The sequence below is a fragment of the Homo sapiens genome, chromosome 15 (assembly GCF_000001405.40).
Source record: "Homo sapiens chromosome 15, GRCh38.p14 Primary Assembly".
Taxonomy (NCBI): Eukaryota; Metazoa; Chordata; class Mammalia; order Primates; family Hominidae; genus Homo; species Homo sapiens.
This window is the reverse complement of record NC_000015.10, coordinates 90,141,992-90,156,315: the sequence shown is the minus strand read 5'-3', so window position 1 is coordinate 90,156,315 and position 14,324 is coordinate 90,141,992. Positions and strand designations below refer to the sequence as shown.

Here is a 14,324-nt window from a genome sequence, read left to right as displayed (position 1 = left end):
TTTTTAGTAGAGATGGGGTTTCACTATGTTGGCCAGGCTGGTCTCGAACTCCTGACCTCGTGATCTGCCCGCCTCAGCCTCCCAAAGTGCTTGGATTACAGGCATGAGCCACTGCGCCTGGCCTGGCCTAATTTCTTTTTTTTTTTTTTTTGAGACGGAGTCTCGCTCTGTCGCCCAGGCTGGAGTGCAGTGGCATGATCTCGGCTCACTGCAAGCTCCGCCTCCCGGGTTCATGCCATTCTCCTGCCTTAGCCTCCAGAGTAGCTGGGACTACAGGCGCCCGCCACCACGCCCGGCTAATTTTTTTGTATTTTTAGTAGAGACGGGGTTTCACTGTGTTAGCCAGGATGGTCTTGATCTCCTGACCTCATGATCCGCCTGCCTCGGCCTCCCAAAGTGCTGGGATTACAGGCGTGAGCCACTGCGCCCCGCCAACCTAATTTCTTTTAACACTTAACTGTGAAGTTGGTAGGATGGGATGTCTGAAAATTGTTTTAATTATTTGCCAGCTCTGGCCAGGCGCGGTGGCTCATGCCTGTAATCCCAGCTGTTTGGGAGGCTGAGGCGGGTGGATCACCTGAGGTCAGGAGTTTGAGATTAGCCTGGCTAACATGGTGAAACCCGTCTCTACTAAAAATACAAAAATTAGCCAGGAGTGTTGGTGTGGCCTGTGGTCCCAGCTACTCCAGAGGCTGAGACAGGAGAATTGCTTGCTCGAACCCAGGAGACGGAGGTTGCAGTGAGCCAAGATCGTGCCATTGCACTCCAGCCTGGGCGACAGAGTGAGAATCTGTCTAAAAAAAAAAAAAAAAAAAAAGATTTGCCAACTCCATGAACAATCTTCCCAGCTGAATATGTTCTGTGAGGTTGCGGAACATGCCTTCTGCTTTTTTTTCCTTATTCTAAGAGCCCTGTGAGGGCAAGTAGATCCCTAGTCTGTTGAATGAACTGCAAAGGTAGAGGGCTCCTCTCTCCATGTTCCTGAGCCTTGGAAACAAAGCCTTTCACCTCTACAGTGTTTGTTTACAGTGGGGGCAAACTTCTGAGTGTCTGTGACATGAACTCATTTACAAGCATTTTTGTCCGCATTACGTAATGCCCTGTGTTCGGTGCCAGTTATTGGTGGTGGTGGTGGTTGTGGAGGAGGACGATGATTCGAGAAAACTAGATCCTGATCTCAGAGGCCTCTATCCACTTTAGACACAACATACACATATGACACAACTTGCAAACAATTACAAAACAGCAGCACAGTGTAAACGAAACATACATGCGCTGAGAGCCAGTAATCAGCGTGGGAGTAAGGCTGATGGCAGGGTGCTTGCTGGAAACATGGTTTGAAGGGAGTCTGGAAGAATGCCAGGCCCACCGACGGAGGCATTTGGGGGACTGGATTGATGTTAAATAGGAAGTCAGCATCTACTCATCTCTGGAGATACAACCATTACGTCCCCCAAGGCACTGTGGCCCATCTGGCACTTACTCTCACTGGTTTGCCTTTGCAAAGGTTCCGCGGTCCTCTCCACCTTCTTGCTCTCACCATTTGGCTGCCACAAATAGAAACCACTGCTAGGGATACCTGGCCCACCTGCACACGTCTTTCAACTCCTGCAGACTTCAGACTGTACCGGGGGGCATCAGAGTACACCTCACTAGCATAACTGCTTATGCCCTGGTCCTGCCCCTGCCTCTATCTTCCAAGGGAGAAATCAAGTCCTTTGGATGCCCAGAGCCACAAGGGTCCCCACCTCACGAAGCCAGGTATGCTGCTCACTCTCTGCAGAGAACACTTGAGCAGGGTTGGTGCAGGCCCTACTCATTGATAGGGCTGTGGCCAACTACAGGTGACAGCTGTCCACTCTGACTGTGACTGCCCTGGAAGCTTGTCCTGGCCACGAGGTTCAGTATAGAGGGCATGGATTATGAAGCGCAATACCTGAAGCAGTGTAGCTTGAGGGCAGATGGCACTATTTTTAACCACCTCTCAGGCCAGGAAGGTCATTAGTGAGGAATGTTGCATGGGGGAGATTGAGGGATTCCGTTGGGCCTGTCCAGTCGTTACTTGTAATTTTTCAAAACACAAACAGAAGGCCAGTTGATTCATTTACAGTGGAAAATGCAATTGGCACACAATTTGGAAATATTCAAAGGACGTACAAAGCTGTTCAGTGAATAAGAAACTCAACTAAAGACAATCAGATGGACCAAATAGCTAAAGACATCAGGTCAAGAAAGCCCAAGGCAGCCATGTTACCATGCCGAGTTCCAACTCCTTAGCATCATTCATCCTTACATCTGGATTTCATCAGGACTTTTAAACACTCAGGATGCAGCCCCCTCCCATGGCCACGAGGACTGAATATAGCCCTGGGCAGTTGCCCACCCACTGCCTCCGGAATGGCTCATCACCAATTCTCTGGGAGAGATTCTGCTGTCAGCGATGATCTCAGCTTTTGGACTTGTACCTGTTTGGATTTGGCTAGTCACTGGATGACCCATTTAGATTCTGTAATCTGGCTTCTGAACAGAACAACTAGGGCCAGGTAGGGTAGTTCACACCTGTAATCCCAGCGCTCTGGGGGGCCAAGGCAGGAGGATCACTTGAGATCAGGAGATTGAGGCCTAGGCAACATGGCGAGACCCTGTCTCTACAAAACAAAAACAAAAACAAAAACAAAAACAAAAACAAACTAACCAGGCATAATGGTACATGCCTGTAATCCCTGTGGATTAGCAGGCCAAGGTGGGAGAATTATTTGAGCCCAGGCATTCAAGACCAGCCTGGGCACACAGTGAGACTCCATCTCTAAAAAAAATTTAAAAATTAGTCAGGTGTGGCCAGGCATGGTGGCTCACGCCTATAATCCCAGCACTTTGGGAGGCTGAGGCAGGCGGATCACGAGATCAGGAGATCAAGACCATCCTGGCTAACATGGTGAAACCCCGTCTCTACTAAAAATACAAAAAAATTAGCTGGGCGTGGTGGCGGGTGCCTGTAGTCCCAGCTACTTGAGAGGCTGAGGTAGGAGAGTGGTGTGAACCTGGGAGGCGGAGGTTGCAGTGAGCCGAGACTGCGCCACTGCACTCCAGCCTGGGGGACAGAGCGAGACTCCCTCTCAAAAAAAAAAAAAAATTAGTCAGGTGTGATGGTGCCTGTAGTCCCAGCTACTCAGGAGGGTGAAGTGGGAGGATCCCTTGAACCCAGAGGCTGAGGCTGAAGTGATCAGTTACCATGCCACTGCACTCCAACCTGGGCAACAAGGCGAACAGAGCCTTTTGACATGGACTTAGAGACCTGCCTCACCTTGGCATCAGTCCACTGATTTGGGGGCTGTCATTTGACCTGACCGTTCTAGTGTCTACTCCATATTTCTCCATCTTGGCTGCAAACAATAATAAGTCTGTTAGGAGACCTGCTGAATCTAGGATCTCTGTGCCTCACATCACGAGCTGAGGTTGGTCTGGGGCTGCAGTTGATGACCCATTCCAGCTCCCATGAATTGTCACATCCTTTTCTACGGGGTCCTGAGTCACCCTTTAATCTTGCTTAGCCCTCTGCCCCAATGTTTGAAGTTTCTGTTGCCTTCCTTTCAGGAAAGGGAATGGCGTTTTGACCCTCTCCAATCTTTCAGCGCATCTTCCATTGTCGTTTTTCAAAGACCAGTGGCAGGGACTCAGCATCCCGTTTCTCAGTAGCCTGGGATAGAACTAGTCTGGGCCAAAGGACCTAAACTTTTTTTGAGTAGCCAGGCACTTGTTTACAAACTCTTCGGCCTATCTTGGACCAGCTAAGAGCTACCTCCCTCCCTGGCAAAGCTCATGCACACAGTTCCCTCCCAGGTCTGAAAGGCAGAGACTGCCCCGCCCCCACCACACTGGCCACAGGTCCCACCTTCCATTTCAGCCTCTGCCAGAAATCCCCCTGCCCCATCCGCTGTCTGTCCCCTGCAGCTACTAGCAGCAGGCCTGCCCTTTCTGAACAGAACCAAAAGTTCCTTTCAATTGTCTTCTCTGGCAGCATTCTATTACAGTTGTTTATTTCCTCCATTACAAAAAGTAGCACAAGCTCATGAAAGAAAATGTAGAAAATCCAGCTAGGTAGCAAGACAAAGGAAGGAAAAACAACTTCCTGCCCCATTACCTAAGATCAAGCACGGTTAACATTTCAGTACCAGTACCGTAGGGAGGCTATCCTAACAGGCTCCTGTGTCTTTTTTTTTTGTTTTGTTTTTTTTGAGACAGAGTCTTGCTCTTGCCGCCCAGGTTGGAGTGCAATGGCACAATCTCGGCTCACTGCAACCTCCGCCTCCTGGGTTCAAGCGCTTCTCCTGCCTCAGCCTCTGGAGTAGCTGGGATTACAGGTGTCCACCACCACGCCCGGCTAATTTTTGTATTTTTAGTAGAGATGGGGTTTTGCCATTTTGGCCAGGTTGGTCTCAAACTCCTGACCTTGTGATCCACCCCCCTCAGCCTCCCAAAGTGCTGGGATTACAGACATGAGCCACCGTGCCTGGCCAGGTCTCCTGTATCTTTACATGCCTTCTTTTAAAATTTCCTTTTAGGCCGGGCGCGGTGAGACTCTGTCTCAAAAAAAAAAAAAAAAAAATTCTTTTAAATCTGAGCTCTAATTATGAACATTTTGTATACCCTTTGACAAAACAATTCCACTTCTGCAGAATCCCTGTGACTGTGCCCAAAGATTTGATCCACCAGCAACCCCGGCACAAGGGGCCTGTTCTCCAGAGCACCAGCAGGAACAGGTGTAGCTGGAGGGCAAGGATGTTACTGGAAGCAGTTTGGACAAACCCAAAAAAGGTCCCTCACTATCACAGCAGTGTTCTTTGGGGAAGAAGGTAGAAATGAGGAATGAAGGGTATATTTTCACTTTTACTTTATACACTTAAAAAAAAAAAAAAAAACAGGGCCAGGTGCGGTGGCTCATGCTTGTAATCCCAGCACATTGGGAGGCCGAGGTGTGAGGCTTGCTTGAGCTCAGGAGCTCAAGACCAGCCTGGGAAACATAGTGAGACTCTGTCTCTACAAAAAAATTTTAAAAATTAGCTAGGCATGGTGCATGGTGGTGCACACCTGTAGTCCAGGTACTTGGAGGCTGAGGCCAAAGAATTGTCTGAGCCCAGGAGCTTAAGGCTTCCATGAGCTGTGACTGTGCCACTGCACTCCAGTCTGGGTGGCAGAGTAGGTCTTGTCTCAAAACAAAAATAATCAAAATAAATAAATATAAATAAAAACAAAAAAACAAGATTTTTGCAGAGATTCTTGTCTTAGTTTTTCCATTTCTGATGTTCCCATATTTTCTACAGGGAGCATATGTTGCTTTTGTAATCACAGAAGTGTAAGATAGTGGTATGGACTGAATTATGTTCACCAAGAAGTTCTAGCTTCATATGTATTTGTAGGTAAAGTCTTTAAAGAGGTAATTAAGTTAAAATGAGGTCCTTAGGGTGGGCCCTAATCCAGTAGGATGGCTGTCCTTATAAGAAGAGAAGATTAGGCAGGGCCAGGCACGGTGGCTCATGCCTGTAATCCCAGGACTTTGGGAGGCTGAGGCGGGCGGATCACTTGAGATCAGGAGTTGAGACCAGACTGACCACCTGGTGAAACCCCGTCTCTATTAAAAATTCAAAATTAGCCGGGTGTAGTGGTGCATGCCTGTAATCCCAGCTACTTGGGAGACTAAGGGAGGAGAATCGCTTGAACCCGGGAGGCAGAGGTTGCAGTGCGCCGAGATCACGCCATTACACTCCAGCCTGGGCAACAAGAGCAAAACTCTGCCTCAAAAAAATAAAAGGGAAGAGAAGATTAGGACACAGACATGCAAGAGGGAAAAATGTGAGGACACAAGGAGAAAATGGCCATCTGCAAGCCAAAGAGAGACACCTCAGAATAAATCAGCTCTGCAGACACCTTGATTGTGAACTTCTGGACTCTAGAATTGTAAGAAGCTAAATGTCTACGGTTTAAGCCACCCAGTCTGTGGAACTTTTGTTATGGCAGCCTACCAAATTTGTTTGCAAATTACATTGCAAACAAATGCAATGGTCAGGAGTTTGGGACCAGCCTGGCCAACATGGTGAAACGCCCGCCTCGGCCTCCCAAAGTGCTGGGATTATAGGCACGAGCCACCGCGCCCGGCTGTCGGTCACTTTTTGGTGCGTGGCTAGAATTTGAGCTTCAGTCTGTGAGTCAGGGACCAAGCAGAGGATCCCACAAAGCAAAGAGTGAGGTGTCTCTCCTGCAAGCTGCCACCACCGCAGTCACACCAACAGGCTCAGAAAGCCCTGAGAGCAGTTCTCAGTGAGGAGTGGTGCCCAATAGAAAGCCTATATCCCCTGTTGGTGACAGTGGGGAAGAGAAAGGCCGGAGTCAGGGAAGTGGTGGCTCTTGGCCAGAAGAATATTCCAAAGAGCAGACGGCAGAACGTTCCATTTGGTGGCCCCTTGGGGCCCACCATATACCCAGGTGTTCTGACCCTGTTGTGGGTTCCAGACCCCTTTGGAAATCCAATGAGAATAAGGAACCACCCCCTAGAAAGACACAAACACACACACACACACACACACACACACATAGATTTGGACACTAATTCAGGGAGTTTGTGTCCTCCTTGAGCCAACATTCAGGTTCTCTAATTTCAAACCTCTGCTCTACTGAGAACCATAAAAAAGCAGTTTATGGAACTGTTCGACCTGGCTCCTGCCAGTGCAAAAACTGTTCACTGAGCAGAAGACGAGATGGGACTGAAAGGTAAACAGTCAGATGTAAACAAAGAGAAAGCCAGGAACCTTTACACAAACATTCCCGCAAAGCAGGAGGCTGCAGGCTCCATGTGGCTCTGAACACAGCTTTTCTGATAGCAGAGACTGAATTGGGCACAGAACATCTGCTTTGCGTAATGTGCTCTTTGCAGAGGCAGGCAACAGAACCTGTGGCCCCAGAAATGTTTCCCCTTGAGCTGAAGCTTATCAGAGAACAGAAAGATAGGTGGAACCACGTTCCAGTGTAGATGAAACTGACCAATATGATAAGAAAATGAAACTGTGAACATGTATGAGTAAGCCCCAGGGTTTTGTGTGGCCATCTTCAGGGACTCTTGTAGGCAGTGACGACATGGTAGGCTTGGGAAGCTCTCTGGGCTCACTCCTACATTCTCTGAACACTAGACTGTAAGTAGTAGAGAAGTAAGGGCTCTTGCCTATATATTGGATTATTGTTTTCTTTCTTTCTTTCTTCCCTCCTTCCTTCCTTCCTTCCTCTCTCTCTCTTTCTTTCTTTCTTTCTTTTTGAGATAGAGTCTTGCTCTGTCACCCAGGCTGGAGTGCAGTGGCGCAATCTTGGCTTGCTGCAACCTCCGCCTCCAGGGTTCAAGCAGATTCTCCTGCTTCAGCCTCCCAAGTAGCTGAGACTACAGGCACGCACCACCACACCTGGCTAATTTTTGTATTTTTAGTAGAGATGGGGTTTCACCATGTTGGCCAGGCTGGTCTTGAACTCCTGACCTCAAGTGGTCTGCCTGCCTCGGCCTCCCAAAGTGCCGGGATTACAGGTGTGAGCCACTGCACCCAGCTGCAAGCAGCTTTTTGATGACCTCCTATGGGAGATGAGATTTGTGAAGCTGACAGCATAGCACAGTTGTTAGGACACCAGACTGTGGACCCTCAGTTGGCTGACCTTGGTGGCTCAGATTCCAGCTCAGCCCTTTTCTTTCTGGGTAGCAATGGGCAAAGTGCTGAAGCACTTTCTGTGTAAATTTTCTCATCTGTAAAATGAGGATAACAAAAGCACAGTTGTGAGGACTAACACAGCTAAAGCACTTAGACAGCTGCATCTAATAGTGTAGCCATCAGCCACAGTACCTACTGAGCACTTGAAATGTGGCTTGTCTATCCCAGCTACTTGGGAGGCTGAGGCAAGGAGAATTGCTTGAACCTGGGAGGCGGAGGTTGCAGTGAGCTGAGATCGTAACAATGCGAGACTCCATCTCAAAAAAAAAAAAGAAAAAGTAAAACAAAAAGAAAACGTGGTTTGTCTAAACTGAGATGTACCCTGCGTGGTGCTCGCGCCTGTAATCCCAACACTTTGGGAGGCTGAGTCGGGAGGCCAGGCACAGTGGCTCACACCTGTAATCCCAACAGTTTGAGAAGCTGAGGCGGGAGGATCGCTTGAGCCCAGGAGTTTGTGACCAGCCTGGACAACATGGTGAGACCCTGTCTCTACAAAAAAAAAAAAAAAAATTTAAAAATTAGCCTGGTGTGGTGGCATGTGCCTGTAGTCTCAGCTACTCGGGAGGCTGAGGAAGGAGGACTGCTTGAGTTTAGAAGGTCAAAGCTGCAGTGAGCCATGATTGTGCCACTGCACTCCAGCCAGGGTGACAGAGTGAGACCCTGTCTCAAAAAAACAAAACAAACAAAAAAACCCTGAAATGTGATGTATGCATAAATTCACATCGGATTTTGAAGACTTCATACAAAAAAGGCCAGGTGCAATAGCTCATACCTGTAATCCCAGCACTTTGGGAGGCTGAGGTGGGTGGATTGTTTGAGTCCAGGAGTTTGAGACCAGCCTGGGCAACATCGTGAAACCCCATCTTTACAAAAAATACAAAACATTATCAGGGCCTGGTGGTACGCGCCTATAGTCCCAACTACTCGGGAGGCTGAGGTGGAAGGATCACCTGAGCCTAGGGGAGGTCAAGGATGTAGTGAGTTGTGATCGTGCCACACTCCAGTCTAGGCAACAGAGTGAGACCCTGTCTCAAAAAAAAGTAAAATAACTCCCTAATTATTGATTATATTGGGTTACATAGAATATATTGTAATACATAGAATATATTATTTGTTTGTTTGTTTTTGAGATGGAGTCTCACTCTGTTGCCCAGGCTGGAGTGTAGTGGCACCATCTCGGCTCACTGCAACCTCCACCTCCAGGCTGGAGTGTAGTGGCACCATCTCGGCTCACTGCAACCTCCACCTCCAGGCTTCAACCGGTTCTTCTGCCTCAGCCTCCTGAGTAGCTGGGATTACAGGCGTATGCCATCACGCCTGGCTAATTTTTGTATTTTTGGTAGAGACGGGCTTTCCCCATATTGGCCAGGCTGGTCTTGAACTTCTGACCTCAAGTGATCTGCCTGCCTCAGCCTCCCAAACTGCTGGGAGGACAGGAGTGAGCCACCACACTCAGTCTAAATAGAATATATTATTACAATTAATTTCACCAGTGGGTTTTTTGTTTTTACTTTTAAAAATGCAGCTACTAGAGTTTTTAAAACTACGCTCTTTTCTGCCATGGTGAAAAGTAAATTAATAAATTAAAAAACAACTACTAGGCCAGGCGCAGTGGCTCACGCCTGTAATCCTAGCACTTTGGGAGGCCGAGGCGGGCGGATCACCTGAGGTCTGGAGTTTGAGACCAGCCTGACCAACATGGAGAAACCCCATCTCCACTAAAAATACAAAATTAGCCGGGCATGGTGGCACATGCCTGTAATCCCAGCTACTCGGGAGGCTGAGGCAGGAGAGTCACTTGAACCCGGGAGGCGGAGGTTGCGGTGAGCCAAGATCACACTATTGCACTCCAGCCTGGGCAACAAGAGTGAAACTCCATCTCAAAAAAAACCCAAAAACAAACATTAACAACAACAACAAAACTACCTATGTGGCTTGCATTATGTGTTTATTGGACAGCAGCTGCTTAGAACAAGCCTGGTGTGGAGTAAGTCAGTGTAATTGTTAGCTGCTGTCAGTGTTCAGTGCCTGACACGTGGTAAGGGCTTATTGAAGAGCAGTTTTTTGGTTTTTGTTTTGTTTTGAAATGGAGTCTAGTTCTTTCACCCAGGCTGGAGTGCGGTGGTGCGATCTCAGCTCACTGCAACCTCCGCCTCCCAGGTTCAAGTGATTCTCATGCCTCAGCCTCCTGAGTAGCTGGGATTACAGGTGCTCCCCACCATGCCTGGCTAATTTTTGTATTTTTAGTAGAGACCGGGTTTCACCATGTTGGCCAGGCTGGTCTCAAACTACTGAACTCAGGCAATCTGCCTGCCTTAAACTCCCAAAGTGCTAGGATTATGAGCATGAGCAACCATGCCTGGCCTGTTTTTTTTTTTTTTCTTTTTTTGTGACAGGGTCTCACTTTGTCGTCCAGGCTGAATGAGTGTAGTGGTGTGATGTCAGCTCACTGCAGCCTAGATGTTCTGGGCTCACACAGTCCTCTCACCTCAGCCTTCTGAATAGCTCTGACTATAGGCATACACCACCATGTCCTGCTAAGTTTTCTACTTTTTTAGAGACGGGGTCTTGCTATGTTGCCCAGGCTGGTCGCAAACTCCTAGGCTCAAGCGATCCTCCTGCCTCAACTTCCCAAAGTGTTGGGATTACAGGTGGAGAGCCACTGTGCCTGGCCTTGAATGGCAGTTTTGAAGACTTCTCTCCATCCCCTCTCTTGCCTCTCTGCCTTGGCAATCCAACCTGGAAAGCATTGTCTGTTTCCTTCCCAGCTTGTCCTATTCACCGGCAGTGAGAGCCCTGTCTTTCCTTTGATCCTCCCAACTCCCAGTGCCTCTCCAGGGGTGCTGAGCCCCCCAGTGGATTTCCATGCTGGTGGGACTTTCTGGGTGTCCAGTTTCCCATCACCTCCCCTCTCCCACCAGCTCTGGGCCCGAGTACCTCTGCGTTCCCCCGGAGTCCACCCACCTGGGGTGTTGTGATCACTCTTTGCCATCGTCACTCTCGGGTTTTCTCCTTAGGCCCTGCTCTTCTGAGGCTTGATCTGTGATGCCGGGAGAGGTGGGACGCTGCCAGAAGGGGCTACTGGCAGGCTGCCAAGAGGCTGCCCACAGAGGCCTTTGCCCTGACAAATTCACCCCTGGGGCCCTGGGTCTGCCCTCCGCCTGGCAGCTGGTGGAGAGGAGAGCCAGGTCCCAGCTGTGGACTCAGACTAATCAATTGCTCAGGAGGCCAATATATACACCAGGTGGTAAGTTTCCAATGCATTTAGCAGGGTGAGACCGGTTTTTGTTTAGGAAAATATCTTGATAGCCACTTTTGTTGAGGAAGGGGAGGTGCTAAGGACATAGTTGAAGGAAGATGTTTAAACACAGGAGGAATCAAACGGCTTTACAGAGAACGTTAACCGGAACTTGGGGGCGAGGGACCCCAAAAGAGAAGAAGAAATGGAAAGATGGTCATAGAAATGAAGGGTGAAGGAGGGAGGAGGGAGGGAGAAAACAAAATGGCAAGGGCAGAGCCTGGGAGGTATGTGTCCACTGAGAATTTCACAGTGGCGGGGAGACCAAAGGGCTTTTTTTTTTTTTTTGAGACTCTTGTTGCCCAGGCTGGAGTGCAATGGCGTGATCTCAGCTCACTGCAACCTCCGCCTCTGGGTTCAAGTGATTCTCCTACCTCAGCCTCCCGAGTAGCTCGGATTACGGGCATGTGCTGCCACACCCAGCTAATTTTGTATTTTTAGTAAGATGGAGTTTCTCGATGTTGGTCATGTTGGTCTTGAACTCCCAACCTCAGGTGATCCGCCCGCCTCAGCCTCCCAAAGTGTTGGGATCACAGGAGTGAGCCACTGCACCCAGCCTCGAAGGACTTTTTTTTTTTCTTTTCTTTTTTTTTTTTTGGTGATGGAGTCTTGCTCTGTGGCCCAGGCTGGAGTACAGTGGTGCGATCTCAGCTCACTACAGCTTCTGCCTCCCAGGTTCAAGCAATTCTCCTGCCTCAGCCTCCTGAGTAGCTGGGACTACGGGCGCATGCCACCACCCCCGGCTAATTCTTTAATTTTTAGTAAAGACGGGGTTTCACCATGTTGGCCAGGCTGGTCTCGAACTCTTGTCCTTGTGATCTGCCTGTCTTGGCCTCCCAAAGTGTTGGGATTACAGGCATGAGCCACCATGCCAGACCTCAAAGGACTTTTAAGAACAGGATCTGTACTATTCTTTTTGAAATGGTTTGTTTTCCTACTAAGTACACCCCAGTACACCCCTCTATTGCCCAAGCCTTCAGTAAAAGCTGTAGCTCATGTGACAAGAAAGCATAGAAAGGCCGGGCACGGTGGCTCACACCTGTAATCCCAGCACTTTCACTTTGGGAGGCTGAGGCGGGTGGGTCACCTGAGGTCAGGAGTTTGAGACCAGCCTGGCCAACATGGTGAAACCGCATCTCCATTAAAAATACGAAAAAGCCGGGCGTTGTGGCTCACGCCTGTAATCCCAGCACTTTGGGAGGCCAAGGTGGGTGGATCACGAGGTCAAAAGTTCAAGACCAGCCTGATCAACATGGTGAAACCCCATCTCTACCAGAAATACAAAAATTAGCCGGGTGTGGTGGCGGGTGTCTGTAGTCCCAGCTACTCGGGAGGCTGAGACAGGAGAATCGCTTGAACCTGGGAGGCAGAGGTTACAGTGAGCTGAGATCACGTCACTGCACTCCAGTCTGGGTGACAGAAAAAGACTGTCTCATTAAAAAAAAAAAAGAAAGAAAGAAAAGAAAGAAAAAAGAAAGCATAGAAAGAGGGCTTTTTTTTTTTTTTTTTCTAGGATGGGCACAGAGCAGAGGGACATCACCGGGAAGTGAGAGGCAGGGACTCAGGAGGTCAACACTGCAGGACTGGGGCCAGGGGCACTGGAAAGCCCTCTAGAATCCTGGAAGCAGTGAGGAGAATGTCCGGGGCCCGACTGCCATGGGCTAGGAGTAGGAGGAGACTCGATTTAGAGCTCGAAGGCTAGGGCCACCCAAGCTGTGCAACTGGGCCCAGCCTGGGCAGCTGTCATGCTCGGGCACTTTGTCCCTATCCAGCCTTACCTCATGGCCAGACCAGCATAAAAAACAGGCCTGCGGGGAGGGCCTGGCGGGACTGAGTCTTGTCAAGGAGTAATCTGGGGCTGCACACAGCTGGCCCTGGCTGTGGTGTGATAAAGGACTCGCCCCAGCCAGGGGCTCAGCCCACTGCCCCTCCCCAGGTAGACACTGCCACCTTCTGGCTGTTCGTCAACTGGCTGCCGGCCCCCGCCTCCTCCACACCTCCTTCAAGACAGGCTTTCTCCTCACCAAGAAACAGAATTGTGGAGGTTTCCTTTACCTGCTTACAATCCTGTCTTCCCGGGCTCCCATAAGGTCACTTGAATTAGAGTCTGGGTGATCCCAACCTTTAAAAACAACTTTACAAAACAATCTTTTGAGAGTACCTCTAAAGTGTTCTCGTTTTTTTTAAAAAAATGGGTAACAACGGTAACTATGGGAGGTGATGAGTGTGTCAATCAGCTTGATTGTCATAATCATCTCACGTGTCCATATACCAAGTCATCACGTTGTATGCTTTTAATATGTATACTTTTATTTGTCAATTGTATTTCAACAAAGCAGAAAAAAACCACTCTAGTCTTTTGGTCTCCTCCCACTGATGGCTTCCCACAACTGTCGCTGCCTCATTTTTCAGTTGATTGGGGGCAGGGCCCCACGGTGTGGTGTCACCGTCACTGGTATAAAGGCATTTGAGGCTACAGACACTGTTCCTGGTCGTTCCTCCTTGGTTTTTGTTGTTTTGTTTGCTGGTTGGTGGGGTGTTTTTCTTTTTGTCTTTTTTTTTTTTTTTGAGACGGAGCCTTGCTCTGTCACCCAGGCTGCAGTGCAATGGTGTGATCTCAGCTCACTGCAACCTCTGCCTCCCTAGTTCAAGAGATTCTCCTGCCTCAGTCTCCCAAGTAGCTGGGATTACAGGCACCCACCACCACACCCGGCTAATTTTTGTATTTTTAGTAGAGACTGAGTTTCACCATGTTGGCCAGACTGGTCTAGAACTCTTGACCTTGTGATCTGCCCACCTCAGCCTCCCAAAGTGCCGGGATTACAGGTGTGAGCCGCGGCGCCCAGCCGGTGGGGTGTTTTTTGCTGGGATTCCCCGGGCCTCTCCACTACTGTGCTCTGCGCCGGCGGGTTTGCCGGGATCCCCGTAACCAGCTTCTTGAGTTTATCAAGGTGTTTGTCTCCCTCCACAGCAACAGTTTGTTAATTTTCTCTCTCTCCTTACCTGAATATGGGGAAATGCTTTCCTGCCTTTCCTCCTGAGAATCACTCTATCCTGGCCAAAAACCCTTTGTTTTGGTCTCTCCAAGTCAGTGCTGAAACCCAAGCTTTCTCCACCAAAGGGAGTCCCAGCTCTTCACCTCCCAAATCTTCCCGTTCCCAAGTCCCAAACAGGGAAGAGAGCTCGGGCAACTGTGGAGATTGGAGTCTTGCCTTAGACTCCAAGGACCAGGCCCTTGTCCAGGGAAGCCCTTGGTCCTGTGGAATCTGCAGGGGTGGGGGTGG

General features: G+C 49.3%; 2 annotated features.

Moving 5' to 3' along the window:
* Nucleotides 6,918-7,127: an enhancer, noted in NCBI's record as "active region_10063". NCBI's record gives its function as "activates an Ori minimal core promoter by ATAC-STARR-seq in GM12878 lymphoblastoid cells {active_cell/tissue: GM12878}" and the evidence as "EXISTENCE:reporter gene assay evidence [ECO:0000049][PMID:35858748]".
* Nucleotides 12,241-12,775: an enhancer, noted in NCBI's record as "H3K27ac-H3K4me1 hESC enhancer chr15:90686773-90687307 (GRCh37/hg19 assembly coordinates)". NCBI's record gives its function as "activates a minimal SCP1, AML or CMV promoter by ChIP-STARR-seq in naive H9 embryonic stem cells {active_cell/tissue: H9 hESC(naive)}" and the evidence as "EXISTENCE:reporter gene assay evidence [ECO:0000049][PMID:30033119]".